At 34.9% G+C, this 21,987-nt stretch overlaps 1 protein-coding gene across 44 annotated transcripts in view, besides 1 other annotated feature; it reads right to left on the bottom strand.

Annotated features, from left to right (window-relative positions):
* Window positions 1–21,987, bottom strand: part of TBC1D15 (TBC1 domain family member 15) — an 84,555-nt gene that overhangs the window by 11,585 nt on the left and 50,983 nt on the right. For 23 of the 44 annotated variants that reach the window (NR_169783.1, NR_169767.1, NR_169785.1 and 20 more), the window contains 6 exons: window positions 19,405–19,507; window positions 17,846–18,043; window positions 16,654–16,782; window positions 15,949–16,052; window positions 14,788–14,882; window positions 5,591–5,707 (listed from right to left, as the gene is read on the bottom strand). Coding sequence is in view for 18 of the 44 variants with exons in the window: in XM_047429363.1 (XP_047285319.1) it covers window positions 5,591–5,707; window positions 14,788–14,882; window positions 15,949–16,052; window positions 16,654–16,782; window positions 17,846–18,043; window positions 19,405–19,507 (746 nt within the window). In the remaining 26 variants the exon portion in view is untranslated. Of the gene's footprint in view, window positions 1–909; window positions 4,867–5,590; window positions 5,708–14,787; window positions 14,883–15,948; window positions 16,053–16,653; window positions 16,783–17,845; window positions 18,044–18,353; window positions 18,405–18,929; window positions 18,932–19,309; window positions 19,508–19,923; window positions 19,979–21,987 lie in introns of those variants that run through there. The other 21 variants (NR_169765.1, XM_011538679.1, XM_047429362.1 and 18 more) reach the window with 14 other exon arrangements.
* Window positions 12,346–12,640: a silencer, noted in NCBI's record as "tiled region #15327; HepG2 Repressive non-DNase unmatched - State 13:Ctcf". NCBI's record gives its function as "represses a minimal TATA promoter and a strong SV40 promoter by Sharpr-MPRA in HepG2 cells {active_cell/tissue: HepG2}" and the evidence as "EXISTENCE:reporter gene assay evidence [ECO:0000049][PMID:27701403]".

Here is a 21,987-nt window from a genome sequence, read left to right as displayed (position 1 = left end):
TTTTATTCACCAAAATCTATCTGCACTGAAGCCATGTAAAAGTAAATATTTAATGAAAGAGGGAGGAGATAGTTCTGCTATCATATAAATGATACATAATTACACATTACTCTGTTTTGGAGGAAAACTTTAAAAAATGATCTCAGAAAGCAGGTAAACTAAATCTCTTGAGAAAACTCAGATCAAACACACAACAGACAGAAGCACTCAGATCACCTCAGAATCTCCTTACAAATAAAGTTTCAGCTCAATTTGCTGTGAGCCTCTGTCCAATCATCTTACCACCACATCTTTCCACAGTCCTGTTAACCTCACTCTGTCTACACTGCACCCTGTGGGAAAATATAGCTCTACTCAATTTAGCATAAAAGGGCACGTGGGTTCTCATGGAGGACATCCAATTATTACAGTACCAGACAATGAAGTTACCAAGACATTTAGAGAAAAAAGCTAGACAAAAGTGACATACAACAAGGTATCTAAATTTACACAGATGGTTTCTAAAATAATGCACACTTTTAAAAAAAGAATAAGATAGATGGAAGACTAAATTGTTATCATCAGAACTTTCCTACCTGACACAGTGAAATCAATGACAAAAAATAAAGGCTAAACCAATTAAAGCATGAAGGAAATCTAATCTGAATTCAACAAAGTGCAAGAGTACTACGTTACTGAGCCTGACTGTGTATGATCTACATCAGAAATATTTCAAAGTGTGCTATTCAAAAGATTTACAAAGCACCCTTCCTCTCTTAAAAAGTGCTTTATTATTAAGTTATAATGAATAAAAATTCCTAAGAAGCCAATTTAATCCTTTAAGTCTTCAGCTTTCTTATGGAATCACTACATATTTCTTCTGTTAAGTCTTAGCTGAAGCAAGTTGTCAAATTAATCTTCATGTTCTGGTTGCCTTTAATCTATTTTATTTTTTTTATTTTTACAGTTTTTTTAAATTATACTTTAAGTTTTAGGGTACATGTGCACAATGTGCAGGTTAGTTACATATGTATACATGTGCCATGCTGGTGTGCTGCACCCATTAATTCATCATTTAGCATTAGGTATATCTCCTAATGCTATCCCTCCCCCCTCCCCCCACCCCACAACAGTCCCCAGAGTGTGATGTTCCCCTTCCTGTGTCCATGTGTTCTCATTGTTCAATTCCCACCTATAAGTGAGAACATGCGGTGTTTGGTTTTTTGTCCTTGCGATAGTTTACTGAGAATGATGATTTCCAGTTTCATCCATGTCCCTACAAAGGACATGAACTCATCATTTTTTATGGCTGCATAGTATTCCATGGTGTATATGTGCCACATTTTCTTAATCCAGTCTATCATTATTGGACATTTGGATTGGTTCCAAGTCTTTGCTATTGTGAATAGTGCCACAATAAACATACGTGTGCATGTGTCTTTATGGCAGCATGATTTATAGTCCTTTGGGTATATACCCAGTAATGGGATGGCTGGGTCAAATGGTATTTCTAGTTCTAGATGCCTGAGGAATCGCCACACTGACTTCCACAATGGTTGAACTAGTTTACAGTCCCACCAACAGTGTAAAAGTGTTCCTATTTCTCCACATCCTCTCCAGCATCTGTTGTTTCCTGACTTTTTAGTGATTGCCATTCTAACTGGTGTGAGATGGTATCTCACTGTGGTTTTGATTTGCATTTCTCTGATGGCCAGTGATGGTGAGCATTTTTTCGTGTGTTTTTTGGCTGCATAAATGTCTTCTTTTGAGAAGTGTCTGTTCATGTCCTTCGCCCACTTTTTGATGGGGTTGTTTGTTTTTTCTTGTAAATTTGTTCAAATTCATTGTAGATTCTGGATATCAGCCCTTTGTCAGATGAGTAGGTTGTGAAAACCTTCTCCCATTTTGTAGGTTACCTGTTCACTCTGATGGTAGTTTCCTTTGCTGTGCAGAAGCTCTTTAGTTTAATTAGATCCCATTTGTCAGTTTTGGCTTTTGTTGCCATTGCTTTTGGTGTTTTAGACATGAAGTCCTTGCCCATGCCTATGTCCTGAATGGTAAGCATTCTTATACACCAATAACAGACAAACAGAGAGCCAAATCATGAGTGAACTCCCATTCACAATTGCTTCAAAGAGAATAAAATACTTAGGAATCCAACTTACAAGGGATGTGAAGGACCTCTTCAAGGAGAACTACAAACCACTGCTCAATGAAATAAAAGAGGATATAAACAAATGGAAGAACATTCCATGCTCATGGGTAGGAAGAATCAATATCGTGAAAATGGTCATACTGCCCAAGTTAATTTATAGATTCAATGCCATCCCCATCAAGCTACCAATGACTTTCTTCACAGAATTGGAAAAAACTACTTTAAAGTTCATATGGAACCAAAAAAGAGCCTGCATTGCCAAGTCAATCCTAAGCCAAAAGAACAAAGCTGGAGGCATCACACTACCTGATTTCAAACTATACTACAAGGCTACAGTAACCAAAACAGCATGGTACTGGTACCAAAACAGAGATATAGATCAATGGAACAGAACAGAGCCCTCAGAAATAACGTCGCATATCTACAACTATCTGATCTTTGACAAACCTGAGAAAAACAAGCAATGGGGAAAGGATTCCCTATTTAATAAATGGTGCTGGGAAAACTGGCTAGCCATATGTAGAAAGCTGAAACTGGATCCCTTCCTTACACCTTATACAAAAATTAATTCAAGATGGATTAAAGACACAAACATTAGACCTAAAACCATAAAAACCCTAAGCTATTTTATTTTATACATTATGTTCTTTGGGGTATGTCATGGGTTGTAGGGGGTGGAATTAATGTACAAATTCCTTTTAATTAAAGAAAGATTAAATATATTTAAATTGGCATTTAGTGATCTCAGAGTCTGCAGTACAACTGAATGATGCATATCTTAATCAGCACCAGTACAATTTCTAAAGTACTTCCCTAAAATTACTTCCATAGCAAATTTGTTTCAGTGTAGGCAGTGGGGGGCAGGCGAGAAATGAACACCTTATCATCCTACTGTACACTTGCTTACACCAAAAAGAAAAATTTAAACAACATATAGTTCAATTTTCCAGGTTACTGAAGCTTATCCTTTAGAGTATCAAATTAAAAAACAAAAATCTTGAGGATCAGAAATCATTCTTAAAAAACATTAGACACTCTCCTAATTTAACCTTTCATTGATTATTCAGTATCACCATTACATACCCTGCAATGATACCACCCACAGAAACTTTCTGTAGTATCCGCATTCACTAACTCGAAATCACCCTTCCTTAAATTCTTTTGTCTGCTTTTGATAATTTTTGTCTCACTCCTCCCTACTGAGACTGTATTCAATGCAAATACACCTATACCTCACCTATGGGTTAAGAAGCCAAACTCCATATAATGAAATCACCTACAAGACAGAGTAAATTTACAGTCCAGGTTGCTCTGCTATGAGTAAAGAGTAAGAAATGTTGTCTATTGCTTTTATAAAAAGTATCTTGGCTTCTATAAGGCCAGTTATCCACAGGAAGCTTGACTATGTTTCAGGTAACTGAAATGTCTATATAGAAAGAATGTGACATTAGTATAAACAAATGGAGATGGTAAGTTATCCAGTTAGCTGGTTTGGGACAATGTCCTAAGAAAATTAAGCATTCAGGAACTCCTGCTACAGAATACATATGAATTTCTATCTCAAAATTACCATCTGAGAGAATGGAGCAATGCCTTCTGTTCCCAAGGAGAATGGTCCTATTCCCTACAGTGGTAACAGAAACTAAAATAAATGGCAAGAGTTTGAAGCGCTGAAGGTGTAGAGGTAAGAATTCCAGCCTGCAATAAAAACCTGGGTCTCTACTCCCAGACCAATTATTTACTTGTGTGACCATAAGTCACACTCTGAATCAAAATAACCTTACTCATAAAGTGAGATTTCCCCACTTTTTCAAAAGGCTGCTACGAGAATTAAAAATCAAATCAAGTATGAAAGCACTCTGTAACCTGAAAAGCACTCTATTAATATTCTTGCAACAATTCAATCTGAAGCTCATTATAGGTTCTCATAGACAGGACTGACTACATTTTAAATTTTAAAGAAAACTCTGCAACTTTTGACTTACTGTCACCAAAGAGGCTGATACCTCAAGATCAAAACAGAGATTATATCTTCCCCTAACTTACATATGGGAAACCAAGAGAAATTTACATATTTATGAACAGTGAAGAAAATGTGCCCATAATTCAAGGTTCATTTAGTTTTAATGTGCTAAGTATCCAACCACCTTCTCTAAAGGATGTCTCAAGCGTTACTAATCTAGAAAACATTATTTCCACTATCCTTTAGCTAGAAGCCACTCACATAGCAGATAAGTCAAACATTTCTAGTATTTATACTTATTTAAAGGTTGATGGTTAGACAAGCTGTTGGTTCTTTAAATAAATATCTTAAGTTCTCTTGCCCCTTAAAATAATGGTTCCTTAAGTTTTCTACCCCTTAGCGTCCCTCCCCCAGGTAATTTCACACTTCTACTTCCACCGTCAGTTCTTTTTTTTCCTTGAGACAGAGTCTCGCTCTGTCACCCAGGCTGGAGTGTAATGCGGCGTGATCTCGTTTCACTGCAACCTCCACCTCCCAGGTTCAAGCGATTCTCCTAACTCAGCCTCCTGAGTAGCTGGAATTACAGGCGTGTGCCACCCAGCCTATCTAACTTTCGTATTTTTAGTAGAGATGGGGTTTCACCATGTTGGCCAGGCTGGTCTTGAACTCCTGTCCTCAGGTGATCCACCTGCCTTGACTTCCTGAAGTGCTGGGATTACAGGCGTGAGCCTCCGCACCCAGCCCCGGCATCAGTTCTTACAACAAATTTCTGGTAAAGAGATTTACCAAAAAAAGAGTAAGTTCTACATGCCCTACAAAATTTTTGCACTGCTTGTCTAAAATATCAAATCAGTATTTTTCTTCACAACGGGAAAAGCATATCAAACAACGGTTTGCAAACTTTCTCAGTTCATGGTTATCATCCTTAGTATCCCAGCAATTTTTCCCAAGGCACTCCTAAGTCTCAAAGAAATAACAACTCCATTTATTAAGCAGTTAGGTCAAAACAACTGAATAAGTATTCATATCCTATGTGCTTATCACCTACTGAGCACTACAATACTTCTCAAACCTTAAAATTCAACTGGCTATCACCATCCTCATTTATTTTCATCATTTATTTTTACACAGTACTTATCACAGCAAGGCCAAAAACCCAGCTTTGCAAAGATATAACTTCATCAAAAAGAATGTAATGATCTAATGTTAAAACCTTTAGCTATTTCAGCTAGTAGTTAGAGTGGTGTCCTATAGATGTCTTTATAATTCCCTTAAAAATTTTAAATATCCCATGGTGCTCCTGTTAGTTTGCTGCAGCAACCCAGGGCTCCTTGGTTGAGAACCATAGCCTTGTAAGTTTCCAGTCCCCTGGAGAACAAATTCTCTTAAAACTAGGCCTACAAAGCTATTACCCATGTCTAACTGGATTAAAAATGTAAACTCTAAAGTAAATATATTTACATCTTTTAAAATTAGAACTTTAGAGAACTTACCTAAATCAAAATCATACATACAGTAGGTCATCAAAATGTCATGAAGTAAAATCAACCCTGGATTATCTTGGCCTTCATAAAACTTGTTTGTTCGATCTGTTCTGTTAACATCTTTTTCTGAAGAGGAAAATCATCACATATTTGAAAAGCTTCCAAAAAACAGATTGTGATAAAGCTCACATCTTACAAGTACAGAGTCATTTTTCTTGCTATTAATTTCACTCACCAAGCTTTACTTAATGAAGAAAAAATTCATCAAATTCTATTTCAAATATGCAATAAAGTAACATTTCAGAATTTTTTCAAGAATCAGTCCTCCTCATGGGCAGATTTTAAAATATTTTTCAATTATTATCTAAACATAGAAACCTTTTAACTGCATAGTGGAAAACATTTTCAATGAATTAAAAGCAACACTAAGTAATAATTTGCATTAGCAACAAAAATGCCAGTCATTAATGCATGTCATAGATACCAGTACTTGAAAACTAATAAAAAAAAAAAAAAGCTACCACCTAATCAAGCATAATCAAAGAGATTTGTTTCATTCACAATTACTGCATTTATTATAAGAAGTATAATCAAATTCTTTGTCATGTCTCAATCATCTTTAGGACAAATTATTTCCTTATTTTCATATCTACAACATTTACTTTAGATGTCATTATAAGTTGGAAATGACTTCATGAGAAACAGATTTGGAAACATCATCATCAATGTGTCCAAAGTTGCACCGACAATTCAATTCACAAACACTGATGCCTACTAAGTGCATCACGATGTGAGAGACTTTACCACAAGGCATTCTCCAAACTTGAATCTCTCAGTAAATTAGGAAGAAGTAACTTAAACAAACTCTTGATTAATTTACTGTAGAATCAATTGTTTAAAAGTGATAACTGCCTCCCCTCAATTAAACTGAGTAACCTGAAAACTTTCTCAAAACTCTTTACAAAGAGATGAGGAGGTCAGGTGTGGTGGCTCACACCTGTAATCCCAGCACTTTGGGATGCCGAGACAGGTGGATCACCTGAGGTCAGGAGTTCAAGATCAGCTTGGCCAACATGGCGAAACCCTGTCTCTACCAAAAATACAAAAATTAGCTGGGCATGCTGGTGTGCATCTGTAATCTCAGCTACTCAGAAGGCTGAGGCATGAAAATCGCTTGAACCCGGGAGGCAAAGGTTGCAGTGAGCCAAGATCCCACCACTGCACTCTAGCATGGGTCACAGAGTGAGACTCTGTCTCAAAAATAGTAATAATTAAAAAAAAGATAAGGAGATACAACAGAGTAGAATCTAACAACAGGGTATGATGTGAGCTTAATTAGATTCTGTAAGGGCATTTAAAAAATTATTCAAATATTTTAGCTTTCTGTTAAAATGTACTACATTTGATTTTTAAAAAGCAAGCAAATACATACAGAATTGTGGATACAGTTCTCAAATAAGCAAAAGTAATACCAAAAAACTCATGCTATTTATATAAAATTGCAATTAGAAATGTCAAAATGGGCCAGGTACAGTGGCTCATGCCTATAATCCCAGCACTTTGGGAGGCCAAAACAGGAGGACTGCTTAAGCCCAAGAATTCAAGACCAGCCTGGGCAACATGGCAAAACCCTGTCTCTACAAAAAATACAAAAATTACCCAGGCATGGTGACGCCTGCCTGTGGTACCAGTTACTCAGGAGGCTGAGGTTGGAGAACCATCTGAGCCCAGGAAGTTGAGGCTGCAGTGAGCCGTGATGGCACCACTGTACTCCAGCCTGGGTGACACAGTGAGACCCCGACTCAAAAAGAAAAAAAAGTCAAACTGCTTCTGTCTCATTTCACAGTTGATAAAGTTCATAAGTTAATTTTTATTAACTCAAGCATAATTTATATTACCATAATGCCAATACAGAATATCTGCCTTAATACGTATTTTAAACATAGTAAAAAAAAGTTGTTTGTATTCTCATGAACTATCAGTATTTCTTCTTGTAAAAATATTTAATAGTGACAAGCCAGGTGAAAAACAGAAAAGGGATAAAAAGTAATATATAAAAATGTTATTTTATAATTATTTCTAGAAACCCCATTTCTGAAAAGGAGTACTTCAGTTAAAAACAAAAACCTCTTATTAAATCCAACTCTCCATCTAATCTGATGTAGCTAAAAAAAGGCTGAAGAAAAACACAACCACGTTGACTGACCCCATTTTATATTCACCATCACTAACATCAAGTGGGTCCTGAATGCTGTTTGGCAATCCTGCTCTATTTCCCTTGTCCATTCACTCCCCATTCATACAATTATTTTATACTTCCTTTCTCTTCAAGCCTCCACCTTCTCCCACATCCTAACTCAGATAAGGACTCTGCTTCCTATTTCTGAGAAAATGAAACTATGAGAGAACTTTCACAGGTTCCCACTATTCTAAGCATACAACCATGTTTGAATTTATATAGTCTCCCTGCTCTCCTAACACTATAAATGAGTTTCCATAACTCTGTGGCAAAGACCAACCCCTCCTCTTGTGCATGAGAACCATCCCCTATTGACTACCCAAGGACTCTAGTAATTTCTATCTAGTTACTCTAGTAATTACCTCCCTCTTCAGTTTTACCAGTTTTTCCTTTCTACTGTACCATTCCCATAGTATTCAACCTTACATTATTTCTTTCAACATCATTAAAAACCTTTCTTAATCCTACTTTTCCCTCTGCTAGCTCATTTTCTCTACATCTGTTTACAGCAAAACTCCTTGAAAGAGCTGTAGGTATTGTCTCCAAGTCTTCTTCTATTTTCTCTTCAATTCACTCTAATCAGGTTATCACATGCACCAATCCATCAAAATTCTTCTTTAATCAAAATCTCCAGTGATCTCCTTATTCCTCTATGCAATGGTCAATTTAAATAATCTTACTTGGCATCCCAATTATCCCTTCTTGAAATACTTTCTTCACTTGTCTTTTAGGACATCAAACTTTGATGTTTTCAATCTTTCTCTGTGGCTCTTTACTTAGTCTCTTCTGCTGTCTTCTAATTTTTCCTACTTGTAAATTAAAGTGCCCCAGGGCTCAGTTCTTTTTTTGTAACTGTACTACTCCCTTGGCAATTTAATCTATTTTTTTTCCTCCCAAGTTGTATTTTAGTTTCAAGGGGTACATTGCCAAGTTTGTTACACAGGTAAATGGTGTGTCATGGGGGTTTGGTGTACAGATAGCTTTGCCGCTCAGGTAATGAGCATAACACCCAATATGTAGTTTTTCAATCCTCACCCTCCTACCACCCTTCACTCTCAAACAGCCCCAGTGTCTACTGTTTCCTTTTTTGTGTCCACGTGTGCTTAATGTTTATCTCCTACTTGTAGTGAGAACATGTGGTATTGGTTTTCTGCATTAATTCACTTAGGAGTATGGCCTCCAGTTCCATCTATGTTGCTGCAAAGGCTACGATCTCTTTATTATGGCTGCATAGCATTCTATGGTGCATATGTATATTTTCTTTATCCAGTCCACCACTGATGGGCATCTAGGCTGATTTCATGTCTTCTCTGTTGTCAAATAGTGCTGCTATGAACATACATGTGCATTTACCTTTGTGGTAGAACGATTTATACCCCTTTGGACATATATCCAGTAATGGGATTGCTGGGTCGAATGGTAGTTCTGTTTTAAGTTCTTTGGGAAATTTCTAGACTGCTTTTCACAGTGGCTGAATTAATTTACTTTCCCACCAGCACTGTATAAGCATTCCCTTTTCTCTAAAACCTCACCAGCATCTGTTATTTTTTGACTTTTTAGTAACAGCCATCATGACTAGTAGGAGATGGTATCTCATTGTTGTTTTGAATTGTATTGCCATAATGACTAGTAATATTGAGCACTTTTTCATATGTTGGTTGGCAGTGTTTATGTCTTCTTTTAAGACGTGTCTGCAGCCAGGCATGGTAACTCACACCTGTAATGCCAGCACTTTGGGAGGCCAAGGCAGGTGAATCACAAGGCCACGAGTTCAAGACCAGCCTGGCCAAGATGGTAAAATCCTGTCTCTTCTAAAAAAAAATTCTAAAATTAGCCTGCCGTGGTGGTGGGCACCTGTAATCCCAGCTACCCGGGAGGCTGACGCAGAGAATTGCTTGAACCCGGGAGGCAGGGGTTGCAGTGAGCCGAGATTGCACTGCTGCACTCCAGCCTGGGCAACAGAGCGAGACTCCGTCTCAAAAAAAAAAGTCTGCTCATGTCCTTTGCCCATTTTTTAATGGGGTTGTTTTTGCTTGTTGATTTGAGTTCCTTACAGATTCTGGGTATTAGACCTTTGAAGGATGCATACTTTGCAAATGTTTTCCCCATTCTGTAGCTTGTCTGTTTACCCTGTTGATTGATAGTTTCTTTTGCTGTACACAAGCTCTTTAATTAGGTCCCACTTGTCAATTTCTGTTTTGGTTGTAATTGCTTTTGGAGTCTTCTTCATGAAGTCTTTGCCTGGGTCGATATCCTCAATGGTATTTCCTAGATTTTCTTCTAGGGTCTTTATAGTTTCAGGTTTTACATTTAAGTTTTTAATCCATCTTGACTGATTTTTGTATATGGTGAAAGGTAGGGGTCCAGTTTAATACCTCTGCATATAGCTAGCCAGTTATCCCAGGAACATTTATTGAATAGGGAGTCATTTCCCTGTGGCTTGTTTTTGTCAGCTCTGTCGAAGATCAGATGGCTGTAGATGTGTGGCTTTATTTTTGGGTTCTCTAACATGTTTCGTTGCTTTATGTGCCTGTTTTTCGTCCCAGGACTATGCTGTTTTAGTTACTATACCCTTGCAGTATAGTTTGAAGTCAGGTAGTATGACGCCTCCAACTTTCTTCATTTTGCATTAAGATTGCTTTGGCTATTTGGGCTCTTTTTTGGTTGCATATGAATTTTTTTCTAATTCTGTGAAAAATGTCATTGGTAGTTTGACAGGAATAGCACTGAATCTATAAATAGCTTTGGGCAGTACGGCCATTTTAAACAATATTCTTTCAATCCATGGTATGGAATGTTTTTCTATTTGTTTGTGTTATCTCTGATTCCCTTCAGCAGTGTTTTGTAATTCTCATTGCAGAGTTCTTTCACCTCCCTGGTTAGCTGTATTTCTAGGTATTTTATTATTTTTGTGCCTACTGTGAATGGGATCACATCCTTCATTTGGCTCTCGGCTTGGACGTTGTTGGTGTATACCAATGCTACTGATTTTTGCACATCGATTTTGTATACTGAAACTTTACTGAAGTTGTTTATCAGATCTAGGAGCCTTTGGGCAGAGACTATGGGGTTTTCTAGGTATAGTGTCATATTGCCTGTGAAGAGAGGGTGACTTCCTCTCTTCCTATCTGGATGCCTTTTATTTCTTTCTCTTGCCTGATTATAGTACCATGCTGAATAAAAGTGTCAGAGTGGGTATCCTTGTCTTGTTCTGGTTCTCAAGGGGAATGCTTCCAGCTTTTGCCTGTTTGGTATGATGTTGGCTGTGGGTCTGTGATAGATGGCTCTTATTATTTTGAGGTTATGTACCTTTGATGCCTACTTTTTGAGGTAATCTAGTTTCATAATTCATGGTTTTATGTAATCTCATACTATCTATGTTGATGACCCCTAAATTTATCTCCAGTCCCATGAATTCCAGCCCCATATATCCACATTCAACTCAACATATTAACTTACAGACATTCAATATAGGCATCTCAAAATTAAAGTCTAAAACTGAATTCTAAATATTCCCTTCCAGACTTTCTTCTCTAACAGTTTTTCCCATCTTAGTAAAAAACAAAAACAAAAAAAACAGCAATATTGGCTGGGCACAGTGGCTCATATTTATAATCCCAATGCTTTGCAACACTGAGATGGGAGAATTGCTTGAGGCCAGGAGTTGGAGACCAGCCTGGGAAACATAGTGAGACCCTATTTGTACAAAAAAATTTAAAAATTAGCCGGGTGTGATGGTGCGTGCATGCAGCCCCAGCTACTTGGGAGGCTGAGGCTGGAGTATCCTTTGAGCCCAGCTGCAGTGAATTATGATTGTGCCACTGCACTCCAGCCTGGGTGACAAGCAAGAATCTGTCTCTTGAAAGACAAAAAACCCAGCAATATCCATATGCCATATTCTCTTCCCTTTATATCAAGCAGTTGCTCTTCCTCTCTTCCCATCTGGATGCCCATTATTTCTTTCTCTTGCCTGATTGCTCTGGCTAGGGCTTCCAATACTACACTGAACAGGAGTGGTAAGAGAACCCCCTCCCTTTTTCAAGTTTCTATTCAAATATCACTTTCCTACTAAAAGCTGTCTCTGCTTGCCCAAGTTAAAATGGCAACATTGCACACAAACATCCTAACCCTTTTCCTTGCCTTATTTTTCTATTTGGCATGTATCACTAACATACCACATATGTTACTTACTTAACTTGTTTACTGTCTGTTCTTCCACAGGAATGAAAACTCCTTTAGGGCAAGAATTTTGCCTGTTTTGTGCAGTGATGAATCCCTAATGCCTAGAGGAGAGCCTAGTACATAATAGGCACTAAGTAATAACTTATTGAAAGAATGAATGAGTGTATGAATGCTTGAAATAATCAATTTGGTTTTCAGAAATATCCCTTGGTGATTTAAACCCATTTATGCCAGAGGTTGCGAATTTTTGTGTGTGAAAAATCAGACCTTGGAGATGACCTTGAGCAGCAGGATACAAATAACTCCCACAAGCTTAGTGTTCCAATAATGGAACACTAGGCATAAATGGGTTAATGTGTTGCCAAAGTTAAAAACCACTGCTTTAAAAACTGGGATTCCTGAGCCTTCTTAACTGTCTCTTTTTCCACTAGGTGGCACATGTTTCCATGGATATTTATACTGATAATACCCAAACTTCTATCTCCTGCCAGACTAGTCCAGACTATTCAACTACCTACTTGACATTCCATTTGTATATTTCACCTTAAGGTATATATACCTTAACACTTAATTCAATTTCACCATACCCCATTTCTCATCTCCATAAGGGGTATCACTAACTGCCCGTTTTCTAGTCAGAAACTGAGTCCTATTTTTTATTTCTCTTTCCCCTTCACACCCCATATTTCATATATCAGAAAGTCTTATCAACTCTATCACCAAAATATAACTTGAATCCACCTACTTTTTTTGGTTTTGTTTTGTTTTGAGAAGGGGTCTCGCTCTGTCACCCAGGCCGGAGTGTAGTGGCACAATCGCAGCTCACTGTGGCCTCAACCCCATAGGCTCAAGTGATCCTCCCACCTCAGCCTCCCAAATACTGGGATTACAGGTGTGAGCCACCATGGCCGGGCTCACCTACTTCTTTTTACCTCCTCTACTACCATTTATTGCCTGAACTTATGCTTTCCACTAACTGGTCTCCCTATTCCTACTCTTACTTTGATTGAATTTCCACAAAGCAGTAAAAATGATTTTAAAATATAAATAAAATACTCTTCCTTAAAATGCTCCAATAGAGTCTCATCATACTTAAAGTAAAATCCAACTTATTGGCATGTATGCAAGACCTAAAGCTTACTGCGTAGTTTTGCTTTTAATAAAAGTAAATTTATACCACCCAAAAAGCTTTTGATGAGCATTCTCAAAATACATTTGGGAAAAAGCATTATAGAAAAAGAATGCTTTAAAACTAACTTATTTTATGCACTTCTACTGGCAGAAAGCATGGTATAGCTGAAAGGCCACTCAAAATTAGATCTGAGTATGAATGAGTCTGAACTATAAAACTAACGAGATAGATGGCTTAAGACAACTGACTAACCTTTCTGGGCTTCAACTTTATCTGCTAAAAATGAACAAAGTAGGCTACAGTATGTCTCAATTCAAATTACATTATGGGGACTTTAAATATCTAAATTTTCCTACCAGTCTCCTGGAAAGGATCAGAAAAGGACATGAAAGGTTGAGAATATCAGAGACATCAACATTGATCCTTGATATAAAGGGAAGAGGATATGGCATGCAGAAAGAAGAGGCTTAAAATACAGGTTTAGTTGACCTCTAACTTCCCTTCCAGTTCGAATATTTTATGCTCAAGCAGGAGTAAAACACCAGAATCCCTTATTGTTTTTCCTACTGAAACTGAAAATATCAAGAAGCTTCAGTTAGAAACTTTAGATTAAACTCCAAAACTCAGGACTCCCAAACTTTCGCCTTAATCAGAGAAAGGACAAAGTTTATTCTGGTATAATTTACATTTCAGAAAAATAAATTCTTTTTGGATCAAAAGTATCACTGCCAAAAAGATCTTGTTTTCATGTCCACAAACGGTACCAAATCAGCCTGTTACGTTGGGCTTTCTAAATATAATTTAAAAAATTATTTCTTTCATGGGAGGGTGTTAACAGCAGTAACAAATCCCTCTATCATTCTTTATGAAACCACGGATATACAAATCCAGATACAATATAGGAATTTCAAAACTAAGTTCCAGTACTATCCAATGCTATCCTAAAATTACAGAGACAGTGTAATAAGAACATTAAACTGGGACATGTGTGACCTTGGACAGGTCATTTATGTTCTCCATGCTTCAGTTTCTCATTTGTAAATGGAGATTATGAAATGCAACTAATGCTTTAATGATAAAATTCTATCAAGCATCTCTGTGTTTTAGAGAATAGTTATCCCCAGGTAAATATTCTATTTTCAAATACTAAATTTTATATCTGGAGTCATTTATTTAATTTTAAAAATGAAATATATGTATATTTAAAGAAGTTCTGAAGGGATATAAACCAATACCTATTAACCATAATTATCTCTGGGTGACAGAAACAAAAATAATTTCTATTTACCTCTTTTTGCTCATCTACAGTTAATTTTTCTACAATAAACAGACTTTCATAATAAAAAAGAAAATAAAGTTTTTTAAAAATGAAATTAATTCAAAAAGCAAATAAAGGTAAACAATCTTTTTAGAAATTCATACTTTGGAACTGAAAATTAAATATATCAACACTTATAAATAAACTTACTGAATTAATATGCCTATTGGAAGAGGAACAACAAAGAACATTAAACACACACTGCAATGTACTTTCCTATTCTGATTTCTCTTTTGAGCCCTAGTGCTATTACCATGTATCTTCACTTCTTTACTCTTATCAAGATTTCAATGTAATCCCCCCTTGCATTTCCAAAGTTGTTAAGAAAAAATTACCGATAAGACTTCTATAATCTCTTAACCTCGAATTTCTTTTCTCTTGTTCCTGGCTGATGGATTTCCACTGCAGTTTCATTCTGAAGTATTCATCACTATAGAAAACAATTTGACATCAAAGAAAGCTATTTGAAAACTTTATTTTTAACACTGTTTAATTGGGTTTTTCTATAAACAGTATATCAAAGCATTTATGATGCTAGTGGAATGTAAGTTTATAAAAACAATAGCAAAACGTTTAAAGTTATGATAAATAAGTGAAAACAAAAGAAAAAAATAACCGATAAATATCACAAAGTTTATGTGATAAACTTTGTTCAACTACTAGAATAATTTTAGGTATTCTTTTACAAAAACATTTATCTCATCCTTAAAATCATGTCTAAAAGTATTCTAGTCATGAAATATTTTAACCACTAAAGTTTCCAAATAATTGTAAATACAAATCTAAGTGACTTTTTTTTTAAAAAATGTGACATTATAGTTCCATTTCCAAGCAGTTTATTGCAGAAACTAGTTAATGTAAAAATGTCTTAGAAGAACTGGTAAACAAGCTGAAAAGAGAAGACTGTCAGATAACTTAAATATGCACATAATGACTGAAAATAGCTTTAAATCAAAGGCTAGACTGACAACTGAGAACAAGAAGTTGTACCTGGAAAGTTGGTCTGTGTTTCCTTTCAAGTCTGAGGAATAACTTAAAATAGAAATACTCTTCCAAAAAGAATGAAGGATCCATTATAAGAGTATCAGAAAAGTAACTTAAAGGTAATTAATCTAAATAGCAAATATATTTCTTATGAGCCATTTATAATTTCATAATGAATTATAAAAATGAATCAAGATGAATGAGAGATGTTTTTAAGTGTATGTCTACGTAGTTATCTTTCAAGTATGCAAAAGGCTTGTACAAGGCTTATATAAGGGAATATGTTTATCTTCTTTTTACATATTCACAAAAATAAATGCAAAAAGGTGCTTCTAGTAAGTTTCTGATTTAAAATAATTAGAATGCTCATAATTTTTAAGTTAAAACATAAAAATGAAGTTGTTTTTCCATTCCCCAGTCTATTCCAAATCCTCATCTAGAAACCCTATACTAATTTGTATGAGTGGGTTACTTGAATCTCTTTGATAAATGTACGAAAGACCATTACTTACGTTTTTTGCTTTTGTAATTGGGTTCTTTCCTCCTTGGTACTGTCCCAGGGAAAATAACCCAGAAGAAATTTCCATGCTTGCTTTCTCAATGCATGACTAAGTCCCTGAAGAAAGCATACATATTAAATACATGAATGAAAAAGAATGTAATACTGTAAGTTCACAAAACTTGCATATAAAAAGGAAAACTAATCTTTAAGAGGTAGTTTCATATATGTAAATAGTTCAATTCAGTGAATATCATCTTGTTTTTTACTTCTAGATCCAAAAGATGTAAGCAGCTGCCAGAAAGTTTAAACAGTGCACAGAATACAGTAGACTACAGAATACAGTAGACTACAGCAGACAGACAGTGTGACTGGTGAGTCTAAGCCCAATCTTACAGAATAAGGCAAATGCCACTGGAATGCAGGCCTCCTTCACAAAACCCACAGAACTTCAAGTACGGAAGAATTCTTCCCCCAGAGTTAAGGGTCTACCCAACCCCCAGGAACATCATAAGCACCTCACTCTGTCCTACTCAATCCAGGAATTTTAAGGCATCATTCATCAAAGAAATAACAGAGTTCATTCCTCCCTACTTCCCCCACCAAAAAAAAAAAAAACCAACAACAAAAAAAAACACACCAAAACAGTAACGATAACAACAAAACCCCTAAATACTAGGAGTTTATAAGACAAGCCATATTAGAGTGTTTAAATTACCCCTCTAAATATCATCTGCTTCATATTATCTACATTTAAAATTCTTCCTTCAGAATCAATGTTCTTAGTCCATTCTTCCAGTGATACCGGTTCTCTCCTTTGAACAACAGGGCGTTCCCCCAAATCAATCTAAAAATAAGATTAAGCAATAATAAGTACATATTTAACCAGTGAAATGAAATAAAGGCATATAGAAACTAAATTTAAAATACTGTTTTTCAGACATGACTTCTAATACTTTTAAGATTGTTCCTTATTTTCCCATGTTTAGTTTAACTATAATAGTTAGCATTACATGTATTTCCCTTCTACTAAACACACAACAAACTGGGTTATAAATTCAGAAACAGAAAACCCCACAGACTAAAAATATTTGTTATTAAAAGAAAGCTCTTTACTATTTTGGGTTCAATTATGTAAGTATAGAACATTCAACATGTAAATTCTGTAAGAAACCTTCAAACCAAATGATATGCTGTATTATTTAAAAAGAGAGAATATATAATTATTCCATTAATCATATTCTAAAAATTAGCTTTTCTTCTAAAGTTTGTATTTCTCAGAATTGATTCATGACCCACTAGCTTCACTCGGCATTTTCTATAGTGTTTTATTCAATTAACAGATGTTGGTAATTTTAAAATAGTATTTGCAAGATAAACCCTTTAATTAAGCACTAAAATTTAGATATTTATAGTTTTCTAACTATGTACAAGCCTAGAATTGTAGCAAATTTAAATCTTACTGAGCACATATAAAGATCTGCCATAATTCAGGCCAAAACCCATCTTACTTAAAAAAGGAAGTATTACATGAGAATAAAAGCCCTAAAAGTAGTATCCTGACTAGCTGTCTCTGATGCCTATGAGAAAACATGCAAGTAAGGAACAGAACTAAGAGGTAATAGGAAAGGTTCGCTCCTCACTCTGCTATGCACCCAATGAAACAAACTTCATTATCAAAAGGTAATCAAAGAAGAGAGATCCAACATTAATCAAGAAAGAGTATAAGATAGAGAACAAATGAAGAACTTAGTGGCAGGACAAGCACTCATTGTCAGATATACTAGCAAAAAGTTGTTAAGAACAGATTATGGAAAGAAGCAGATATCACCAAAATTAAGTTTCTATTTCTATAGTACATGTTCTCCTGTTAAAATATAAGAGCTATATTAATACTAATCTTTACTCACTCTTGTGATGACTTCAAATCCTGGTTCTTCTTGTTGATTTATCTTTAGACCTGGAATAGCATCACTAAGAAAATCTGCCATTTCTGAAGGTGGTCGTTGATGTGTAGAGGGATCGCTGCCTCTCAAACTGTCAAAAATGTAGTTTGTGACTTTGGAAAATCCTATCATAGTTGCCGTATAAGGGTCCTTTTTAATTTTCTATGCAGTAGGAAGAAAAATATTAGCATTATTAACTCAAATAAAGAAAAACGAATACTCCATCATGAGCAAAAAAGCAAAGCTTTTTAAAAGAAAAGAAATCAGGACTAAAACAGAGTGTTCTAAGATTATCTTAAATTTGTATTTTCTTTCTTCAAAGAAAAATTTAAATTTTCTAAGCCAATCATTTCATTTGGTTAAAATAGCATAATAAATGACAAGTTAATGCTACTGATTGAATTGCAGATAAACAAATGATTTGCAGGCTTCACTCAATCTGCATACATCAGAAAACATACGCAGTGCTTACTTTCCAGTGGTGAATGGCCCACAACAGCTTTCTTCTGTCTAGCAGTCCTGCCTTCATACAAAAAAAATATTTCTTGAAGTGTGTACCACCATGCTATTCTGACACAAAATATTTGATGGCTAAATTTAAAAACTCATATTTAAATATTAGTTGACATTTTAATCTAATTATATGAATAGTAAATCATGCCAACAAGAATAATTTATTCTGGGACAGTGCTACCCTGGAAAACAGCAAAAGGTTTTTCTACTGTTAAGTGCCAGGGTAACTTCTGAAGCCCAAACTATTTGCTCATTCATATTTAGCAAAAACAGTTATTTATTAAATAATTCTTTTCACAATAAGTAAAATTATCCTTTTATTGTCCATTTTAAACAGTGTTTAGTTCTCTCTCTCATCCTCTTTCCTAAAGTTCCCTCTATATCTTATTAATCTTTACATCTTCAAAACCAGGAAAAGAATAGCTGGGACACAGCAAGCACTCACATATTTGTTAAATGAATAAGTGAATAAATAAATAAATGAATAAACCATCTCATTACTTTACATAGTCATCTGAGTGATAATTAAATTTACTTCTGCCTATTATTAAGTGCACATTTTTAGCCAAATGTAAGAACAGTACTCAAATATTCTTAGGGGAATAAGATTGTCATGACGTCAAAACAATCTACTTAAATTCAAACCAGATTTTTGCCTAAACCGATCATTAATGAATTCAAACTGGCCTACTCTGTGATCCCTGGCCTAATCAATAAAAGTTATGATACAAATCTACTGATGTCTAATTTTAGTATTATAATAAACTGAGAAATTTCCTTATGAGTAACTAAGAACCAAGGAAGCCTCTGAGTCTTGCAAATAACATGAAAACTTATTATTGTTTCTGTAAAATTAGAGAATAGTTCCAAAAAGATTACACACACACACACACATATCTATGTATATATATGTACCTGTCTCATTTTGCATACTCTCTGAGAAGATGAGAAGTACAGGGTATATAAAATAATGCAGTCAGAATAATACAGGATAGATTTAAGGAACATACTTGTATTAAACCATATGCTGGCTCATCAAGAAGATTTTCAAAAGACTGTGAAAGACTCTTATTCTGACAATTCACAAGAAGTGTTCTTTTATCCTGTGGAGATCTATAATAAAAAAGAGGATTTGTAGAAAATACTAACACACTGTATCAATTACTACATGAACAATTACTAACACAAATGTTCCTTACCAAAAAAAAAAAAAACCCAAAATATTTTAACAGTTTTCCATTAATACATTAGCAAATATTTAGTAACTATTTTAAAGGAGCTTCAAAACTACATGAAACATAAAATACAAAATTAACAAATACTAAATACACTGTATATAACGTAAATAAAACAAATATAAAGTGTATTTTTATTCCAGGTAAAGCCAAAAGGATTAAACTGGAATGAACCTAAATTCTTCTCTAGAATTATAGTAGAAAACCATTACAAGATAGCTGGCTTTATTATCATAAAAATTAAAGAAAGCCAAAACAGACATTAGGAGTCATCAGTATATAATATTTACATACAGAAAATATGTCCTATTTTGAAATCATTTCCACCTTCATTCACAGCTTAGTAATACTGCAATATAAGATGTTAAAAATGTAAGCTATATTAGTTATTTGATAAAGATCATTAATCATGCTAACCATAATTACAAACACACACATATGAACATATTTTAACAAGATTATTATGAATGGTTGGGTAATACTATGTTTTTAGTTCTTGCTTATTAAACTCTAGAAGCAAGTCTCTTCACATTTCTTAGTAATGACAGAATTTAACAAAATGTTTCCAAAACAGACATCTAATTTCTAGTCATCTGACAAATTATCCAGTCTTTTTTCTATTTAGTGAGTTTTATGACTTAGTCAGTTCTAATAAATCTACAAATTTTCTATGTTTAAAATAAAAATTAAATGTGTTATTTTGCTGCTATACACCTCCTGTTTATTATAAATGTTTGAGATAAGATCTTTAATAACAGTTATCCCTTCTCAATTCTAACATAACAGGATGTAACAGTAATGCTAGAGTGGATATGAAATCCAAAACAGGATCTTATATTCTTACACAGTCAGGAACAGCACTCGATCTGCATATACAATAGTAGCTAATAAGCCCCTTGGCCTTTCAAAAGGGGCTGAGGTTGAGTCATTTGACATAGGAGGGAAAAAAAATACATTTTAAAACATTTACTTTTCTGAATATTTTGAGGGGTCATAATTAATAGGCAGACTTACAGATTCTCTCACAAGGCATTTTTTAAATGATGGACTTTGAAATGTAGCATCAGAAAAGAAAAGTAGCTAATAAAGAAACAAAATTTTATTCCTAGCACAGTGCTGCTGGCACTGCCATCATTTTGTTTCTAACAATAAATTAAGTCAAATTATTTCTTTAAAACCCAAATAAAAAATGCTCATGAAAGTCAAACCACTGCCTATACATATAAAAGAGGAACAAATAGGCAACTTTCAGCTATCTGGGTTCAGATAACTCTATGGCTCCATATCTTAAACAGTGGCCACTAAACTGGAGATCCGAAGATGAAATGACTGCCTTACCAACAAGCAACCACAAATATTTTTTAAAAAGAAATTCCTTCTTTTCTTTTCTCATAACTATTGTTGTGTGATGGAGGGTGGAGGAAGCTCTAAGAAGGAGGGAAGATATGAAGAAATTAAAGACCTGACTGCTCCAAAGGAAATCAACAAAACACTTAAAAAGTACATCAGTCAAAGGACAAGTAGTATACTGTTACACCGCTAGGTAATTGCAGAGCTCACCATAAGGAAGACTGGTATTCCAAAATATTACCAGAATGTTTCCACCTGCTGGGTCACCACACTGATTTAATCTATAAATATATATTCTGGGAAGTTGATCTCTCATGCTAACATTATTCAAGACTTTCAAACTCATTGCAGCAGTAAGATGAACTTTTAATGATGCTAACCCAGCAATTCTATTACAGCCTGCTAAACAATTTGAAGAAAACTATAGTCTAGTATCACAACTATAGAAGCATATCTCCTGAAAATTCTGAAGTATATCCCAGGCTTTGGTGTGAGCCTGTCCCAAAGACCTCATAATAAACTCAGAAATTATAAACTGAACAATGCTTGTATACCCAAATGTAGCAGTAACTATTTTATATTTCTATTGAGAATGACCAATATGTAAGGCTAAAGAAATAAACAGCATTGCAGAGATTATCAATCAAAACTGGGAATAAAAGATAGAAAGGTACAATAACAAAATTTTACATCTAGAACCTAATCTTTTAAATGGTTGGTGCTGTTTGATGATACAACAAATTTGGCTTTTTAAGGGAATATTTTACTGCTTGGATATTTGCATATCAATGTAAAAATGGCCCAATATACAAAATAACTTAATGGAATCAACAGGTCTCATTCATATCTTAGCAACCAACTTGGTTTCAGAAAGGTAAGAAAAATGTATTTGTAGCTGATTCTTTTATCCAAGTGAATATCATATTTTAAATGATGATAAATCAAAGAACACAAACATGAACAAATATGACAATTTGTTTTCCTGGTAAATAAGAAAACTATCTGAAA

Source organism: Homo sapiens, chromosome 12 (genome assembly GCF_000001405.40).
Source record: "Homo sapiens chromosome 12, GRCh38.p14 Primary Assembly".
Taxonomy (NCBI): domain Eukaryota; kingdom Metazoa; phylum Chordata; class Mammalia; order Primates; family Hominidae; genus Homo; species Homo sapiens.
The sequence above is the reverse complement of the archived record's forward strand: the minus strand, read 5'-3'. Positions and strand labels throughout refer to the sequence as shown.